The sequence below is a fragment of the Homo sapiens genome, chromosome 17 (assembly GCF_000001405.40).
Source record: "Homo sapiens chromosome 17, GRCh38.p14 Primary Assembly".
Taxonomy (NCBI): Eukaryota; Metazoa; Chordata; class Mammalia; order Primates; family Hominidae; genus Homo; species Homo sapiens.
The window spans coordinates 19,576,945-19,596,306 of NC_000017.11; the positions used below are offsets into that span (position 1 = coordinate 19,576,945).

At 49.9% G+C, this 19,362-nt stretch overlaps 1 protein-coding gene and 1 pseudogene across 1 annotated transcript in view; both read left to right on the top strand.

The window, feature by feature from the left end:
* The window catches only part of SLC47A1 (solute carrier family 47 member 1), a 45,181-nt gene extending 43,091 nt beyond the window's left edge, over positions 1 to 2,090 (top strand). The window contains exon 17 of the mRNA NM_018242.3: positions 383 to 2,090. Within this exon, the coding sequence (NP_060712.2) occupies positions 383 to 609 (227 nt within the window). The 3' untranslated portion in view covers positions 610 to 2,090. The remainder of the gene's footprint in view (positions 1 to 382) is intronic.
* SLC47A1P1 (SLC47A1 pseudogene 1) lies at positions 2,999 to 19,114 on the top strand (annotated as a pseudogene).

A 19,362-nucleotide genomic window follows, 5' to 3' on the forward strand; every position in this document is an offset into this window, starting at 1 on the left:
CCATATTGGTCAGGCTGGTCTCTAACTCCCAACCTCAGGTGATCTGCCTGCCTCAGCCTCCCAAAGTGCTGGGATTACAGGCATGAGCCACCGCGCCCGGCTTCCCTGTGAATTTTAATGGAGAGGGCTACCTTATTTCTCTAGCTCCTGGGAGAGTGCTCCCTGGAGCACCCAAGCCAGCGCTGGTAGGATCATCGGTGTTCGTGAAGGAGTGAGTGGAGGGGCACTCTGCGATAAGATTTCTTTTATTTATTCACTGTAGCAATAGTGTCCTGAATTAACTTTCTCTCCACTATTAGCACATATTCCTTTTATACATAGCCCTTTATAAAAATGAAAAAAAAAATCCCTTTTAAGCTGCTAAGTTCCTTTTTCCTCCCAGGGTGCCCTGAAAACCTTGAAGGAATTTTAACGAACGATGTTGGAAAGACAGGCGAGCCTCAGTCAGATCAGCAGATGCGCCAAGAAGAACCTTTGCCGGAACATCCACAGGACGGCGCTAAATTGTCCAGGAAACAGCTGGTGCTGCGGCGAGGGCTTCTGCTCCTGGGGGTCTTCTTAATCTTGCTGGTGGGGATTTTAGTGAGATTCTATGTCAGAATTCAGTGACGTGGTAGGAAAGAAAGTCAGGTCAAGTGATGCTTTTGAGCTTACACACAATTCACAGGCCCACCAGTGACAATTTACTGTGAGTTAATGTCATTCAGGTGTGCCCATGGATTTTGAGGGCTGGAAATGCAAAGACACATTTTTCTATAAAAAGAAAAAGCAACTAAGGTTAAAAGCTATATTGTGGCCCAAGACACTGTCTGAAAGATGACATGAGTAGTAATTCACCACTATCTGAACCAAGCAAGGATCAATGTGCTGACTGCATTGGCCAATGGCTTTGATACTTCTGCTATTTTTTTAGACACAAACCCATAAACTAACTGCTTAAGAATTCATACTGCTTGAATTATGTAAAATATATTTTACAGTATATCTTTCCTTGGGCCTTAGATTACTATTCACTGGGCAAATGGTATTTGTTTTTGTTTTAATTTTTTTTTTAATAGACGGAAGTCTTGCTCTGTCATGCAGGCTGGAGTGCGGTGGTGCGATCATAGCTCACTGCAGCCTCGAACTCTTGGGCTTCAAGCAATCCTCCTGTGTCAGCCACCAGAGTAGCTGAGACTACAGGGGTATGCCACCATGCCCAGCTGGCATTTGTTAATCTTCATTTGAGGTCTAGATCTAGGCACTGTGGACACTGAAAAACAGTTGGGAAATCTTTCGAGCTGTGGAAATCCAAACAAAGACTGATAATTCCTGGTAGGGGTGTGTGCGTGACGTACTGCAGCCTCAACCTCCTGGGCTCAAGTGATCCTCCCACCTCAGCCTCCTGAGTAGCTGAGACCACAGGCGTGTGCCACCACGCCTAGCTAATTTTTTATACCAGGGTCTACCCTTTGTTTCCCAGGCTGGTCTTGAATTCCTGGGATCAAGCAATCCTTCCACCTTGCCCTCCCAAAGTGTTGGGATTATAGGCATGAGCCACCACGACTGGCCAGAGGACAAAATTTTAATAAAGGTCTTAGCTTAAGCAGTAATCCTACTTCATTAAGCCTTCCTGGGGTGCGGTACACACCGTTAATTCAGCAACCCTCAGTACATACTAAGTATGCTCAGTGCTGTGAAAGTGGATTACACCAAATTAAGTCATTCTTATCACACCCAATCAAAAGTCAAGAAGCCAGGGATAAAAGCACCTCAGGCACATAACATTAATCTAGTAATGTAATTCTCTGCACATCCAGCTGGTGAAACTGCGTGCTGTAAGCTGGGACCAGCTTTGTCCATAACTGCTGAGAGAACTTGCTGAAGCTCTAGGAATAATTTTGCCTGCCCGGTTGCTCACCAGTTGTAGCTTGCCAGCTCCCAACACCCTTCCTGGTGCCAATAAACTTTCTCAAAGAGCAATACTGACATTTCTTTTGATAAAACCTCCAGCCTTCTCTGTGTTGTTCCGACATACCGAGGACCAACTGGTCTACATGGATGCCCTGAACATGCAATTCTTTCTTCCAAAATAAAACATTAAATAGAGATTTTGCCTCTACATTTTTGACTTAGTGCTAGGATGGATATAATGCTCTAGGCATGGCCTTTTCCTGAAATAACAAAATCAGAAAAGTTACCTACTTTGAGTAAAAAACACCCAACTGCTGATTTTGGTTGGGGCCACCTTAAGGTATCTCTACCCTCAGTGCCTTGTTCTTGGGGCCACGAGGCCCATTCTCCAGGAAGGCAGGTAAAGGCTTGCACTGTGGCCCTCGGGGTTGGGCCTGGGGGCAGGGGGCAGACACCACAGAGGCCCCTCCCCAGCTCCTCGTCAGGAACCCTCGAACCCTGTCTCCATTCCCCTCGCACAGGACTCCCTGCCCTTCCCCTTGCCAGGTAGGGCAGGGACCCCCTGGGGATAAGAGGAGGTTCTTTCAACCACCAGCCACAAATAGCCGCGGCCAGGAGGCCACCCCGGGCCGCCAGGAGCAGGGAGGCTGGGGTCCCTGCGAGGCAGGACCCCTCCTCTCCCGGAAACACTGAACCCGCAGCAAGCCCAGGCCAGAAGCATGCCAGAAAGCGCCAGCCCTGTGCTCCGCGGGAGGATGGAATCACCAGCTCAGTCCTGTCTGCCCACCCTCTAGGCATTTTGCTCTTCCAACCTGACCTACAAACTCTCCTGATAAAAACCCGTGTCATCCAAAAGCACACGAGGGGTCCTCTCACGCAGGGACCCCTTCCCCGAGCCCCCTTCATAAGCCCCCAAGGGCCCTCCCGGTGCCCTCCCCCAGAGTTCTGCGGGCGGCGACCATTGCCCTGGGCGTCTGGAGCGGGTCCGGGACGGGGAGGGGCGGGGCTGGGTGGGATCGGGTCGCCCCCCTCACCCCCACACCGCGCTGCGGTCCCGCGCCCGCGCCGCCGCCAGCCGCTCCCAGCCTCCGCATGGAGGCCCCTGCGGCCGCCGACGCCCCGGTCCCCGCCGAGCTCCCCGCCGCCGCCAAGGACCGGCCCCCATAGCGGCTCCGGGCCCTCGGATGGCGTGACGGCTTGTGGGGCCTGCGGGGTGCGCTGCCCCCGGACCTGCGGGGGGAGGCGGCTGAGCTGGCGGCGCTCGCGGGCCCAGTGGTGAGTGCGGCGTCCTCACGCCCAGCCCGACGCCTCCGGAGCGGCCGCCGCGCAGGGGTGGGCGCGGGCTTCCAGGAGGGAGGGCGGCTGTGAACGCGCCTTGCTTTCCGCGCCTCCGCAGTTTCTTGCGCAGTTGATGATCTTTATAATCAGCCTCGTCAGCTCCATCTTCTGTGGACATCTGGGCAAGGTCGAGCCGGACGCTGTCACGCTCGCCGTCACGGTGGGTGCCTGATTTCGCCCCTGTAGGAGCCGACGGGCGGCCAAGGGTTAGGATTTGAGCGGTGTCCCCAGGCGCTGTGGCTCACGACTGTAATCCCAGCGCTTTGGGAGGCCCAGGTGGGAGGATCGCTTGAGCTCAGGAGTTCGAGACCAGCCTGGGCAGCATAGCAAGACCCCCGTCTCTACTAAAAATACAAAAATTATCCCAGCGTGGTGGCACCGCCTATGGTCCCAGCTACTCGGGAGACTGAAGCAGGAGGATCGCTTAAGCCCAGCAGATCGAGGCTGCAGTGAGCTGAGACCGCACCACTGCACCCCGGCCTTGGCAACAGAGCAAGACCCTGTCTCAAAAACAAACACACAGGGCGGGGCGCGGTGGCTAACGCCTGTAATCCCAGCCAGCACTTTGGGAGGCCGAGGTAGGCGGATCACCTGAGGTCAGGAGTTTGAGACCAGCCTGGCCAACATGGGAAAACGCCGTCTCTACTAAAAATACAAAAATTAGCCGGGTGTGGTGGCACGGGCCTGTAATCCCAGCTACTTGGGAGGCTGAGGCACGAGAACCGCTTGAACCCAGGGGCCTGAGGTTGCAGTGAGCCGGAATTGTGCCACTGCACTCCCGCCTGGGTAACAGAAGGAGACTCCGTCTCAAAAAAAAAAAAAAAAAAAAAAGGAAAGAAAAAAAAATCAGTTTGAATTGTATCATGTCTTATGCATCTTCCTTTACAGGTCTGGGACTGACCTGTGGCTTACCATTACCTGATTAGATTTGGAAGGAGCTCGTGTCAATACTTAGAAAAGTGTAAAACTGAAATAACTGCACTTTTTTCTATTATGAAATTAAATCAGGAGACTTTTAGGTAATTTAGGTTGTTTGCCATTAATTGGATTACACAGTACATTCAGCTCCCACCCTTTCACCCTTGTGGAAAAGCCTCTCCCATGGATTGAAATCACACCTCCTGGGACGTCTGTTCCCTGGCTTTTGTTAGTGATGTGGAAAGTTGTTTCTTCCTGCATTTCATCCAGGCTTTCAGAGAAAGTGGAAAACACTTCTGCTGGTGATGGTAGGCGGCTTTCCCTAGTCTCAGAAAATGTCCCCTGTGTCCCCGTGAGATGGGTACACACCCTAAGAACACGGAGGGCCACCGGAGCTTCTCATTCAGCTACATGGGAGCCAAGACCTTGCCAGGTGGAATCAGTCACACATTTTATTTACAGGTCTGTTATTTGGTGAACGTATTGGATTAAGGGACATTTTTGCTTCCTTTGAAAGTTTAGACTGGGACTCTAGGAAGAGGCATGAAGGCAGAGGAGATTCGTATACATGGCTGCTCCAGTGTCCCCACCGGGAAAGACGAGCTTGGCCTCTACCTTAACAGGATGATGATCTAAGACTGGCAGGGAAATTTCCTGCTGTGTCCCCGCAGGGCCCAGGATTGGGGTCCACCTTTTCTGATTACTGCTTGCCAACCATCACTGCCCCCAGGGTGCTCCCTGGGCTCACTTCTGGGCCATCGGTCACTCCTCCATGTGGATGACATCTAATGGCCAGTCAGCCACCTTGTTCAAGAGGACCTCAGCATCTGGGTGTCCACTCTTCTCCTCTCCCCGCCTCTGCTGTCATCCCTGGGGCTGTGGGCTCGACTCTGTGACCCACAGTCACAGCTTTCATTTTTGAAAGGGATCAAGACCATGTAATTGGCCGAAAATGTCCACACAGGTACAATGACCAGATAGCCACCTACTCTTAACCTAGGATTGGGAAACAGGGGACCTCACCTGGAGACTTCGGGTCTTGTTTTAAGAGCAGGAGGATGCGCTCGGTGTTGACCAAGTCGGCCCAGCAGGGAAAGCAGCACAGCATAAGGATGAGGACCCCTCTCTGAAGTATGATCCCCACGCGCTTGAGGTTCTTGCCTCCAAAGGACTTGAGAAAACAAATGCACTGCTAACAGCATATGCCAGGCAGGCCGAGGCTGGGGGCCTGCGCCACAAGCAACCCCTCCCAGGGGCGCCTGCCCGGCGCCCAGGCAGACCGGTTTCCCATCATCTGCTCCCGCCCTCCCCACCAACAGCTGACAGCATTGGGGGAGCTTCTGAGCCAGGGACAACCAGTGAGCTAGCTGGCCCCTGTGGCATTTTACACGTGTCCTGGGACAATGTGTCCCTGCTCCCAGGAGCTGGGACTGTTAACATGGAGGGTAGAGGTAGCAGAAACTGAAGCTTAAAAGAGAGTTTTCAACATGGGAGGCAGACAGATGCTGCAGGAGAACATGTGCCATGGTAGAAGGTGAAGTTGTGGGGGACTCTGAGGGCCAGGGATACCCGGGGAGGGTGCAGTGGAAGAAAAGCACACACTGTAGGCTGAGAAGGGCAGCTAGCAGGGTGGCAAGAACTTCGGGGGGCGGGAGGTCATGGAGGCCAAGGCAGTGCTCTAGAAAGCAGGGATGGCCAAGTGGATTAAGGACGGCCAAGCGCTCACTTGAGGATTTTGTCATAGGAGGCCGGGAAGAGGCCAGGCCCAGTGGGCTGGGCAGGAATAAACAAGGCATCAATAGGGGCTGAGTCGGGAGTGCAGGCCAGGCCCGAGTGCAAAGAACACCTTCAAGAAGCTTGGCTTGAAGGAGGCCAGCAGGGAAGGAGGGGTGGTGGTAAGGGAGGGCGATTTTAGGGTATGGGAGACCAGACTGGGAGGAACAAAGGACAAAATGCCCTTGAGCAGGTGGCCCCAGAGGACAGCACTAGTCAAGCTGACTCTGCTGTTTTGTTTTTTTGTGTTTTTTTTGTTTTTGTTTTTTCCTGAGATGAAGTCTTGCTCTATTGCCTAGGCTGGAGTGCAGTGGTGAGATCTCAGCTCACTGCAACCTCCGCCTCCCAGATTCAAGCAATTCTCCCACCTCAACCTCCTGAGTAGCTGGGATTACAGGCGCCCACCACCGTGTCTGGCTAATTTTTGTATTTTTAGTAGAGACGGGGTTTTACCATGTTGGCCAAAATTGTCTTGACAACTTAGCTGACCTACCACTGCCCTTGGCCAAAGGCGGAAGAGCGCAGAGCCCCTTATCAGGAACGGGCTACAGAAATTCCTGTGGTTAGGCATGGCGTGGTGGCTCACACCTGTAATCCCAGCACTTTGGGAGGCTGAGGCGGGCGGATCACCTGAAGTCAGGAGTTCAAGACTAACCTGACCAACATGGCGAAACCCCGTCTCTACTAAAAACACAAAAATTAGCCAGGCATGGTGGTGGGTGCCTGTAATCCCAACTACTTGGGAGGCTGAGGCAGGAGATCTCTTGAAACCGGGAGGCGGAGGTTGCAGTGAGATCTTCTAGGAAGATAATAGACTCATTTTTAAGATAACTGTGAAAACAAAATTTTTTACCTTTGGAAAAATGTTCATAGTATAAAAGGACTAATAAAAATGTGTTTTTTTTTTTTAAATAAAGGAACATTTATTTATAGTCCACCTTGTTCCACGAAGAATTTGAACCAGTTTACACAAATACTTCCCTAAAAGAAGGATAAATAAATAGCTGTTAGAATTGGGTCAAAGAAACATGGGTGGAAAAGCTGGGAGCCAGGGGTGAGTTGGCATGGGATAGGATGGAAACTGTGCTGAGGTTTTATGGAAGCCTTGATTCAGCGGAAGGGCGGGCCTGGGTACTGAGCCTCAGCCACATTCCCCTTGACCTTCAGAAGGCAGACACCATGACATGGAGCGTGGTGTTCTGGGCTGCTTGTCGCCAGAGACAGAGTAGCAATTTTTGTTCTATCTTTTATAAAGTTGTGTGTTGTAAGCGAGAGGTCTAACGTCAGAGCTCAGTTTGATAAAAGCTTGTGACAGCAGAAGCCACGGGGCCCAAGGCCATGGTCCTGCTTTACATGGGTAGACTGAGCCCCGGGGGAGAGTAACACATTTCTCATTTCTCTGTGTTGGGAATATTCAATATCTTCTTTTCTTTTATTTCTTTTTTTTTTTTTTTTTTGAGACAGGATCTTGCCCTGTCACCCAGGCTGGAGTGCAGTGGTGCAATCATAGCTCACTGCAGCCTCAAACCCCTGGGCTCAAGTGATCCTCCCACCTCAGCCTTCTAAGTAGCTAGAACCACAGTTGTGTGCCACCAAGTCCAGCAAAAAAAATTTTTTTTTTTGAGACAGAGTCTCACTCTGTTACCCAGGCTGGAGTGCAGTGACTCACTGCAACCTCCATCTCCTGGGTTCAAACGATTCTCCTGCCTCAGCCTCCTGAGTAGCTGGGACTACAGGCATGTGCCACCGCACCCAGCTAATTTTTGTATTTTTAGTAGAGACAGGGTTTCACCGTATTGGCCAGGCTGGTCTCGAAATCCTGACCTCAGGTGATCCACCTGCCTCAGCCTCCCAGAGTGCTGGGATTACAGGCGTGAGCCACCACACTCGGCCAATGTCCAACTAATTTTTAAAATTTTTGTAAAGATGGGGTCTGGTCATGTTGCCCAGGCTTCAGTATCCTTCCAGCTATTTGAAGCTATCTGTGATTGTTTCCTGCAGTCACCCTGCAGTGTGGTGGAACACAGGAGCCTATTCCTTCTGCCTAACTGTAACTTTGTATCCTTTAACACATCTCTCCCTATCCCCCCCATCCCCCTACACTCCTATGTGACATATTTTTTTTTTTTGAGACAGAGTCTTGCTCTGTTGCCCAGGCTAGAGTGCAGGGGCGCAGTCTTGGCTCACTGCAACCTCTGCCTCCCAGGTTCAAACAATTCTTGTGCCTCAGCTTCCTGAGTAGTTGGGACTACAGGTGCATACCACCACTCCTGGCTAATTTTTGTATTTTCTAGAGATGGGGTTTTGCCATGTTGTCCGGGCTGCTCTTGAACTCCTGGCCTCAAGTGATCTGCCCACCTCGGCCTCCCAAAGTGCTGGGATTACAGGCATGAGCCGCCGTGCCCAGCTCTGTGTGACTTTTTAAAACACAAAACTTCATAAATTAGCATGCTTTACCTTTCTGTTTTCCTGGCAGTCCGAGGGGTTTGGGAGCTTTAGTCATGCCCCTCTGCCCTGGCTGGAATTCAGTGTTGCTGTGTGGGTAAATCCTCATTGTGCCACAGCCCTCCTGGGGCACGGTTAGATGGAGACCCTGGTCTCATGGGGTCCCGCTGGGCAGTACATGTATGGCCTGTCAGTTATGTGGTGGGGCTGGAGTTTGTGTTTATCAAGCCAGAGTCGTGGTCAGTGAAGAAGCTAACTCACCTGGGGCTGCCATCACCAGTAACCGTGAGACCCAGGACGCAAATGAGGGTCTTTCAGCCCCTCGTCCTGAATGCCTCCTGCACCCTACCTGCAGGCTACTCTATGTGCCCTTAATTGTCAGGGACTGGGTGAGGTCTGGTCAAGAGGGTGACACAACTAGTCCTGTTCCTCACTGGAGGACTAAAGCTTGGGATCTGGAGCCAGACTTCCCAGACTTAGGTCACCATCTGAGTAACTTGGGCAAGGGACATACACTTTGTGTAACTCAGGTTACCCAAAACAAAAAATGAGACGAGTTGTCCTAGCACTATGCACATGAGGGGCTTAGGACAGTGCCTGGCACATAGTATGTGCTCAATAAAAGTTTGCTGTTATTATTACTAAATGCACATCCTACTGGCAGATCGGGGCATCACCTTTAGATGTTAACCACAACTTAACTTTATTTATTTTTTATTTTTTTTGAGACAGGGTCTCACTCTGTCACCCAGGCTAGAGTGCAATGGTATGATCTTGGCTTACTGCAACCTCCACCTCCGGGGTTCAAGTGATTCTCCTGCCGCAGCCTCCCGAGTAACTGGGATTACAGGCGCCCGCCACCATGCCCGGCCAATTTTGTATTTTTAGTAGACATGGGGTTTCACCATGTTGGTCAGGCTGGTCTCAAACTCCTGGCCACAAGTGATCTACCTGCCTCGGCCTCCCAAAGTGCTGGGATTACAGACATGAGCCACCGCACCTGGCCCACAATTTAACCTTAAATATAGAAATTATAATGTGCTATACTGTTTAAGAAAAACTAGGTTTAATATTTCCCCAGTTGACACAAGGTGGTTATCATCCTTTAGTTAGAAGGTACACTTTTGTTCAGTAATCAATAAGGATAGATGTAGACACCCATTTGATCTAAAATACAGCATACATCTGTTGAGTTGCCCTTTAGAGACAAGCTTGTTGAGGTTCCTCCATGAAGAGGGAGCTGTCTGATGCGACCCTGAACTGGCGTCGTCCCCTGAAGGTCTGCCACACCAGGTCTGTGGTTCTCTTGCAGGTGGTGAACGTTACTGGGATTGCAGTTGGCACTGGCTTAGCCTCAGCTTATGACACCCTCATGTCTCAGGTGAGGACCACCCTCCCCCACATACCGTTTTTTGACAGTTACCTTTCATAATAGAGACTTTCTAGGACCATCCACCCTATGGGTTTTGTTGCATTTTATTTGTCAAATACAGATGGTCCCTGACTTAGATTTTTAAACTTTGTGATGGTACAACAGTGACACGCGTTCAGTAGCTGCACTTCAAGCCCCTTACAACCATTCTGCTTTCCACTTTCAGTACCGTCCAGTAGATTCCATGAGATAGTCAACACTGTATCACAAATAGGCTTTATCTAAGATTATTTTACTCAGCTGTGGGCTAATGTAAGTGTTCTGAGCACGTTTAAAGTGGGCCAGGCTAAACTGTGATGTTTGGTAGGTTAGATGCATTCAATGCATTTTCAACTCAAGATATTTCTAATTTACAGTTGTGAGGTAGCTAGGTAGCCCATTGTAAGTCATGGAGCATCTTTTTAAAAAAATTATATTTATTTTTGCAGGCGAGGTCTCCCTATGTTGCCTAGGCTGGGCTTGAACTCCCGGGCTCAAGAGATCCTTCTGCCTCAGCCTCCCATGTAGCTGGGACTACTGGAACAAACATCTGTACATAGCTGCTAATGACTGGAAACACAACCAGGGTCAGCCAGGCGCAGTGGCTCACGCCTGTAACCCCAGCACTTTGGGATGCCAAGGCAGGCAGATCACCTGAGGTCAGAAGTTCGAGACCAGCCTGGCCAACATCATGAAACCCCACCTCCACTAAAAATACAAAAATTAGCCAGGCACGGTTGTGGGCGCCTGTAATCCCAGCTACTCAGGAGGCTGAGGTGGGAGAATCGCTTGAATCCGGGAGGCAGAGGTTGCAGTGAGCTGAGATCTCGCCACTGCACTCCCAGCCTGGGCGACAGAGCTAAATTTCATCTCAAAAAAACAAAAACAAAAAAAACACAAAAAAACAAAACAGCAGAGTCAGCTTGACTAGTGCTGTCCTCTGGGGCCACCTGCTCAAGGGCATTTTGTCCTTTGTTCCTCCCAGTCTGGTCTCCCATACCCTAAAATCGCCCTCCCTTACCACCACCCCTCCTTCCCTGCTGGCCTCCTTCAAGCCAAGCTTCTTGAAGGTGTTCTTTGCACTCGGGCCTGGCCTGCACTCCCGACTCAGCCCCTATTGATGCCTTGTTTGTTCCTGCCCAGTCCACTGGGCCTGGCCTCTTCCCGGCCTCCTGTGACAAAATCCTCAGGTGAGCGCTTGGCCGTCCTTAATCCACTTGGCCATCCCTGCTTTCTAGAGCACTGCCTTGGCCTCCATGACCTCCCGCCCCCCGAAGTTCTTGCCACCCTGCTAGCTGCCCTTCTCAGCCTACAGTGTGTGCTTTTCTTCCACTGCACCCTCCCCGGGTATCCCTGGCCCTCAGAGTCCCCCACAACTTCACCTTCTACAATGGCACACATTCTCCTGCAGCATCTGTCTCCCCCATGTGGAAAACTCTCTTTTAAGCTTCAGTTTCTGCTGCCTCTACCCTCCATGTTAACAGTCCCAGCTCCTGGGAGCAGGGACACATTGTCCCAGGACATGTGTAAAATGCCACAGGGGCCTCTGTGGTTGTCCCTGGCTCAGAAGCTCCCCCAATGCTGTCAGCTGTTGGTGGGGAGGGCGGGAGCAGATGATGGGAAACCGGACTGCCTGGGCGCCGGGCAGGCGCCCCTGGGAGGGGTTGCTTGTGGCGCAGGCCCCCAGCCTCGGCCTGCCTGGCATATGCTGTTAGCAGTGCATTTGTTTTCTCAAGTCCTTTGGAGTCAAGAACCTCAAGCGCGTGGGGATCATACTTCAGAGAGGGGTCCTCATCCTTATGCTGTGCTGCTTTCCCTGCTGGGCCGACTTGGTCAACACCGAGCGCATCCTCCTGCTCTTAAAACAAGACCCGAAGTCTCCAGGTGAGGTCCCCTGTTTCCCAATCCTAGGTTAAGAGTAAGTGGCTATCTGGTCATTGTACCTGTGTGGACATTTTCGGCCAATTACATGGTCTTGATCCCTTTCAAAAATGAAAGCTGGCCAGGCACAGTGGCTCACGTCTGTAATCCCAGCACTTTGGGAGGCCGAGGCAGGTGGATCATCTGAGATCAGGAGTTCGAGACCAGCCTGGCCAACATGGTGAAACCCCGTCTCTACTAAAAATACAAAAAAGTTAGCCAGGCGTGGTGGTAGGTGCCTGTAATCCCAGCTACTTGGGAGGCTGAGGCAGGAGAGTCACTTGAACTTGGGAGGCGGAGGTTGCAGTGAGCCAAGATCGTGCCATTGCACTCCAGCCTGGGTGACAAGAGCAAAACTCCGTCTCAAACAACAACTACAACAACAACAACAACAACAACAACAAAATGAAAGCTGTGACTGTGGGCCACAGGGTCTGGGGGCTGCAGGGACCACCTGACTCAGGGTGACAAGATACAGGACCAGGGTGTTGTGTGCCTGGCCTGTCTCCCGTTCACCGAGTCCCTCCATTTTGCTGTCTGGCAAATGCAGAAAATATTTTTCCCCTGAAGTAGAATAGCAGTGTAATCGCCTTCACGTATGACTTTAGTGTTGGGTTTTTTCTTTAACCTATAATTCCAGTGTATTCTCTGGTATTGTCCTTGGGGTGCGTGGTCCTTTCTAGAAGACTGTCTCGCTCACTGTTAGGTGACCCTGACACTTTCCAATGGTTTCTGAATTTTGCCCAAGTTTTAGTTTTCATGCTAAGAATGAGCTGAAAAATGGAAAGTGGTCAGACTGCCCCTTAGATAGCAGACATTTAGTAGACTTAGTGTCATGTTTGTGTAGGTTGAAGAAAAACACTTAAAAGTTGTTATTAAGTTTCTCTCATTTTTAGGCCGGGTGTGGTGGCTCACGTCTATAGTAATCCCAGCACTTTGGGAGGCTGAGGCAGGAGGATTGCTTGAGCCCAGGAGTTTGAGGTTACAGCGAGCTATGATGGTGCCATTCTACTCCAGTCTGGGCATCAGAGCAAGACCCTGTCTCTAAAAAGTAAATAATTTTTAATTTTAATTTTTAGAAAATACTCTGTGGGTTCAATTTGAAGACAATATGACCAGCAACTGTTTTAATATTAACTGAAGACTATTTTGTTTGTTTCAGGATAGCCCAAATTTATGTGCTGATTTTCATTCCTGCCCTTCCTGTAAGTTTCAAGGCTGTTGTGTCTCACTACATGAAGCAGCTCACATGTGTCGCCCTGCACATGCCCCTTCCCCCGGCTCTTGTTTCTCCATCTTGGTGCAGTTCATGCCAAAAGCCCGACATGTATTTCTTGGCCCTGTCGTCCCTCCCTTGCTGACTCTCAGGACATGTACCACTCTGGTGTACAGTAGCTTAAATTAAAGACAAAGATTGGGCCGGGCACGGTGGCTCATGCCTGTAATCCCAGCACTTTGGGATGCTGAGGCAGGTGGATCGCGAGGTCAGGAGATCGAGACCATCCTGGCTAACATGGTGAAACCCCGTCTCTACTAATAATACAAAAAATTAGCCGGGCGTGGTGGCGGGCACCTGTAGTCCCAGCTACTCGGGAGGCTGAGGCAGGAGAATGGCGTGAACCCGGAAGGCGAAGCGTGCAGTGAGCCCAGATCGTGCCACTGCACTACAGCCTGGGTGACTGAGCAAGACTCTGTCTCAAAAAAAAAAAAAAAAAGACAAAGATTGATGAGGGGAAGACATTTCCTTCCTGATTCCTTGTTCTATGGTTATTTTTGATTGCAAATCAACCAGAATGTTTCTGGATCATCTAGGATTTGGGGAGTGCTGCATTCGGGCACCCTCGGAGCCGTTCGAAATGTCAAGACGGTGGCTTCTGCCTCAGCCAGTTGGAATCGGCCTGTGTCAATTCTTCAGGGAGTACATCTTTTATCCACTCTGGAAAATTCCAAATAGTGCCCTAGCATTGTCTCATGTGAGTGAGGTTCTCTGAGATCATACATCAAGGGGAAGTGTCTTATTTAAGATTAAAAACCGGAACTAAACTAAACCGTTGGAATTTATATTAATGAGAAGTGTTTGTTTTTCTGTTTAAACTTACAGGCAGCATTCTTGTTCCAGCTGCAGACAAGATATTTACAAAGTCAGGTATAGATTCTTTTTACAATTTTTACTCCATAATCCTGGAAATGTCTAGTAAATATTCGTAGGGAATGTTCTATAACAGTAATTCACATTTTTCCCCCTGTAATTCTACCTTAGAGTTCTTTGCCTGAGAGATTGAGGCCTTGTAGGTGAATTTTGTCTAGCCCAAGAGAGACGGCTGTATCAATCCATCCCATTCCCCTTTCAATCACCACCACCTGCTTCGACCCCTGCCCCGACCCCTCCCCTCTCTTGGGGCTGGTGCCAGCTTTGCATCTGGCCTGGGGCCTGGCTCCTGTGCTTCTGCTTTAGAGAGGAGGGCCTGGGGTCCCTACAGCCACTAGGGAGCAGCGAAGGAGTCTGAGGGCAAGATTTGGGTGGACAGTGGAGAGAAGCAGAGCTCTGCCTCCCCGGGTCCCTTCTCGCCCATCTGAGGCCGCAGCCCTCTTGCCTTACCCAGCTTTGGTAACAGTCAGCTCTCTGTTTCAATGCAGGAATGAAAGAGAGGTTTTACTGAAAGAAAATGTTTGAATAGACAGGATAAACAAAAGAAATGAGTGACTGGCGCCTACAACAATAGGGTGAACATGTTCTGCACACCTGCTATGAAGCAGGCATTGCTGGGTGTCTTGTATGCAAGAACTTTAGCAACTTGGCACAGATATCTTCCAAGCTGCCTCTCCTTCACTTCATGCCAGGGCCCATTTGCCCTTCAGGAGGTTTTTTCTCTCTGCTGCTCTTCTGGAAACCATGACCTACCAGGTTATTCAGAAGCAGTTGCAAGCTTCTGGTTGGGATAGGCAGATAATGCACCAACGGAGGAGACTAATCTGGTCATCTCAGCTCCTGACCATTCCAGTCCTGAGTAACTTTGCCATCATTTAAACTGTTCCCTGTTTAACTGTGAGTGTTCACTTGATAGGCTAGCTAATTAGCTTTCGAAAATGTGAATGTTTTCCTATTTGTTTGGGGGTTTTAGGGCATCAGCATGCCTCAAGTTATTACCAGGATTGCAGCTAATGTCATCAACGTGGGCATGAATGCCCTCTTGCTGTATGCCCTGGACTTCAGAGTGGTGTAAGTCACGACCCCTGAATTCAACACATACTGAATGTCTGCTGTCTGCTGTCTCCTGTCCCTGGGACTGGGGATAGCGAGAGTGAAATCGTCTGGTAGAGGGAATATGGACAGGTGGACAGGCAATAGAGTTGGGTGTTCAGGTGGTCTGTGTGCCAGATGAGAACTGGGTGCCACAGGACCTCACAGGAGAAGCAGCTGGCTCAGGCTGTTGGAAGGAAGGTCAGTGGGTTAGTGGGTGGAGAGATAGGGATGGTGCCTGGGAAGAAGCGATGTGTAAGCTGATTGTGTGTTGAGGTGGAATTCGCCTAGAGAAGGGAGTTGCTGTGGTCTGTGAAGGCTGAAAGGGGCCACCCCAGCAAAGACAGAGTAGGGCAGACACCTTAGGGATTCTCCTAGCATCTTGGAATTGTAAGAAACTGAGCCCAATTGCATCCTTATGAAGCTTGAGGAGATGAGGGTCCCAGAAAGAAAACACTATCAATTCACTGGTCCCTCACTGGGGGACACTTCTGTGCCTAGAGCCAGAGCCAGGCTCCTCAGTGTGGCCAGAAAATCTTTAAAGGCTGGCTGAAGATGGAACATAAGAACACATCAGTGAAACACACCTTCTGTCAGAAAGCTGGACGAGGCACTGGCCCGGGAAGCTGGAGTCCCACAGGGAGGTGTGAGCACCAGTTGGTTGACCCATGTCCAGAAACAGGAGGCCTGGGCCACCCAGGTTCTCCTGGGAGGTGGACCTCAGAAAGCGTCTCTTAGAGGTTTCCCCAACAGATGTACACAGGGAAGCTTGGGGATAGCGGGGAAAAGGAGAAGAAAATTTAGGAATGGATTAACAAAGGGTAAAATGGAGGATTGGGTAGGGGAGTGGAATGGAAAAATAGACAGGAAGACAGAGTCCCTGGCTCTGTATGCCAGAGCGGGGCATGGTTCTATTTGTTGTGATAAAATATGACCTATGGAAGACACTCCATGGTTATTTTCCAATACAAAGATGTTGAGCATCTTTTCATATATTTGTTGACCATTTATATATCATCTTTGGAGAAATGTCTCTTCAAGTCTGTTGCCCTCCCTTTTCTTAAATCAGGTTACTTCTTTTTTTGTTGTTGGGTATAGGAATTTTGGTTGTTGTTGTTGTTGTTATTGTTTTGAAATGGAGTCTCGCTCTGTTGCCCAGGCTGGAGTGCAGTGGCGCAATCTCGGTTTACTGCAACCTCCGCCTCCCAGATTCAAGCGATTCTCCTGCCTTAGCCTCCCGAGTAGCTGGGATCACAGGTGCCTGCTACCACGCCTGGCTAATTTTTTGTATTTTTAGTAGAGACGGAGCTTCACCATGTTGGCCAGGCTGGTCTCGAACTCCTGACCTTAGGTGATTCACCCACCTTGGTCTCCCAAAGTGCTGGGATTACAGGCGTGAGCCACTGCGCCTGGCCATAGAAATGTTTTATGTATTCTGGACATTATGATATCCAGATATCCTTATATGATTTGCAAATATTTTCTCCCATTCCATGGGTTGCCCTTTCACTCTGCAGATTGTGTCCTTTGATGCATACAAGTTTTATCTATGTTTACTTTTGTTGCTGGTGAGCACTATGTATTTTAAATACATAGTGTATTTTAAAATATCCACATTGCGGCCGGGCGCGGTGGCTCACGCCTGTAATCCCAGCACTTTGGGAGGCCGAGGCGGGCGGATCACGAGGTCAGGAGATCGAGACCATCCTGGCTAACACGGTGAAACCCCGTCTCTACTAAAAATACAAAAAATTAGCCGGGCGTGGTAGCGGGCGCCTGTAGTCCCAGCTACTCGGGAGGCTGAGGCAGGAGAATGGCGTGAACCCGGGAGGCGGAGCTTGCAGTGAGCCGAGATCGCGCCACTGCACTCCAGCCTGGGCGACAGAGCGAGACTCCGTCTCAAAAAAAAAAAAAAAAAAAAAAAAAAAAAAAAAAAAAAAAAATCCACATTGCTATATATACATCAGTTTTGCTTTTAATCATAATGTGCATCTATCATATTTTATTCCTCTAGTTCCATGTTGTCTCCCACACCCCTCAACTAACGTCTGCCACAGGGAATATTCTATATGTTTTTTTATAGAGGTCTACAAAAATCCCTCTGCCATTTATACCCGGGAGTAGAATGTGTGGGTGAAAGGGCATCTACTGAGTCTTGCCAGCTTAGTGCCTGCCATCTCAATCCATTTGGCATCTTTATATTTTGCTGGAGAACTGAGGTTGCGCCTAGTCTCTGGCCATTTGCAGGGTACAGGTATGTGAAATAGAATTGTTGGTGCCAGAGACTGTTGAAAAACAAACGCCTGTTTTCTTTCCTGTTCCCTAGGTTGGACGAGGGAGTGCTTCCAGGAGTGGGGCTCCTACATCCACCTGGTTATTCCCAGTATGTTCATGGTGTGCACTGAGCAGTGGACCTTTGAGATCGGAAACTTCCTTGCAGGTTTGTCAGCAGTCCAGCTGAAAGCTGTCCTCAGCCCGGCCAGTCACATCTCCAGAGATTCCCAGGAAGCTCCAGCTTTGCTTCTTTGTCCTGCCTCATTTCATCAGGCTCTTGTGGAGCTTTTCAATATAGGTTTAAGCCCTCATCCCATCATTAGCAGACTCAGGTTGGGTGGGGTTTTGGCTCTGCTGCAGTACCCTTCATTTTGTAAGTGAGGAAAGGGAAGCTGCCGGTCAGAGGTTTGTCAGAGGTCACCAACTGAAGGAACAAAAGCCCCACCCCAGGCCTCATGAACTAGCTTGTGCCTCAGCTGACTTTTGCCAGGTATCAAGCCAAATTGTTTTTTAATTTTAATTTTAATTTATTTTTTGAGACAGAGACTCGCTCTGTCACCCAGGCTGGAGTACAGTGGCGTGATCTCGGCTCACTGCAACCTCCGCCTCCCTGGTTCAAGCGACTCTCCTGGCTCAGCCTCCCAAGTAGCTGAGACTACAGGCGTGCACTACCACGCCTGGCTAATTTTCGTATTTTTGGTAGAGATGGGATTTCACCGTGTTGGCCAGGCTGGTCTGAAACTCCTGACCTTGAGTGATCCACCTGCCTTGGCCTCCCAAGGTGCTGGGATTACAGGCATGAGCCACAATGCCTAGCCCAAGCCAAATTTCTAAGAGTTGTATGTACTCAGGGTGACGGATTTAGCCCTGTTTTAGCCATGGCCTATGTTTCTGTTGGAACTGTAATAATTTTTGCCATAGATATTTACCTTAGCCATCTTGTTATTAGTAAAGTAACAGTCGATGCAGAGGGTGACAGTGACAACGTTGCCATTTCCATGGACACTTGAACACATCAACAGTCCCATCAGCTATCTGTAGAGTTCTGCAGCCTTCTGCCTCCCCTCCCACCATGTGACCCCATGTCTCTCTACGGAGTGACTTGCAACTCTAACAGCCTCACTTTTTTATGCTTTTTGGGGGTGGGGGTAGGGTCTCAGTCTGTCACCCAAGCTGGAGTGCAGTGGTGCAATCACAGCTCACTACAGCCTCGACCTCCTGGGCTCAAGTGATCCTCCGGCCTCAGCCTCCTGAGTAGCTGGGACTACAGGAGTGTGCCACCACGCCCAACTAATTTTTTTTTTTTTTTTGTAAAGATGGGGGTCTCACTATGTTGCCCAGGCTGGTCTCAAACTCCTGGGCTCAGGTGATCCTGCCACCTCAGCCTCCCAAAGTACTAGGATTACAGGTGGGAGCCACTGCACCTGGCCATTCTTTTTTCTACCTTGAACCTGATATTTTGTTTCCTGGCGGAGTAGGGATTTGTAGAATGAGGCTGTGTTAATCTGAGCTGCCTGAGATCATGGTCATGGTAACTGCTCAGGGAAGGATGTCTGGGCTTCTCAGCACACGCAGTGAATTCTGCCACCAGGTTATGCTTCTTGGGGGCATTCTTGGGTTCTCTTAAAATAAGTTCTAGTTTCATAAGGAAAATGTTTATATACTTTTTGAAATGTGTTGTGTGTGTGCTGATGTTTCAGGACTGATTGATGTGATGGAGCTCGGCACTCAGGGCATCATCTGTGAGCTGGCGTCAGTGGCCTACATGGTAAGAACTTGGGTGAGACTCGGGACGAGACCTGGCACCTTCTCTGCTTAAACCTGCTGTGCCACTGTCATTGCATTCACTCAGCAGATGTGCACCATGGGAAGGGAGGAACCAGGCAGCACAAGTGAGAGAGGACAGTGCAGTGTGGACAGCATGGATGGGGGCCAGACACACGGAGGTGAGTCCTGGCCATGTTGTTCCCCAACTGTGTGACCTGGGCTTGTTACTTAACCTTTCCAAACTTTAGTTTCCTCATATACAAAATGGGGGGAAAAAAAACCTACTTTGCAGGTGAAGATTGAATGAGAATGCATGCATATGCAACACTCAACACGACGCCTGACACATACGTTCACCTGATGTGGAGTTGGTGCTAGGATG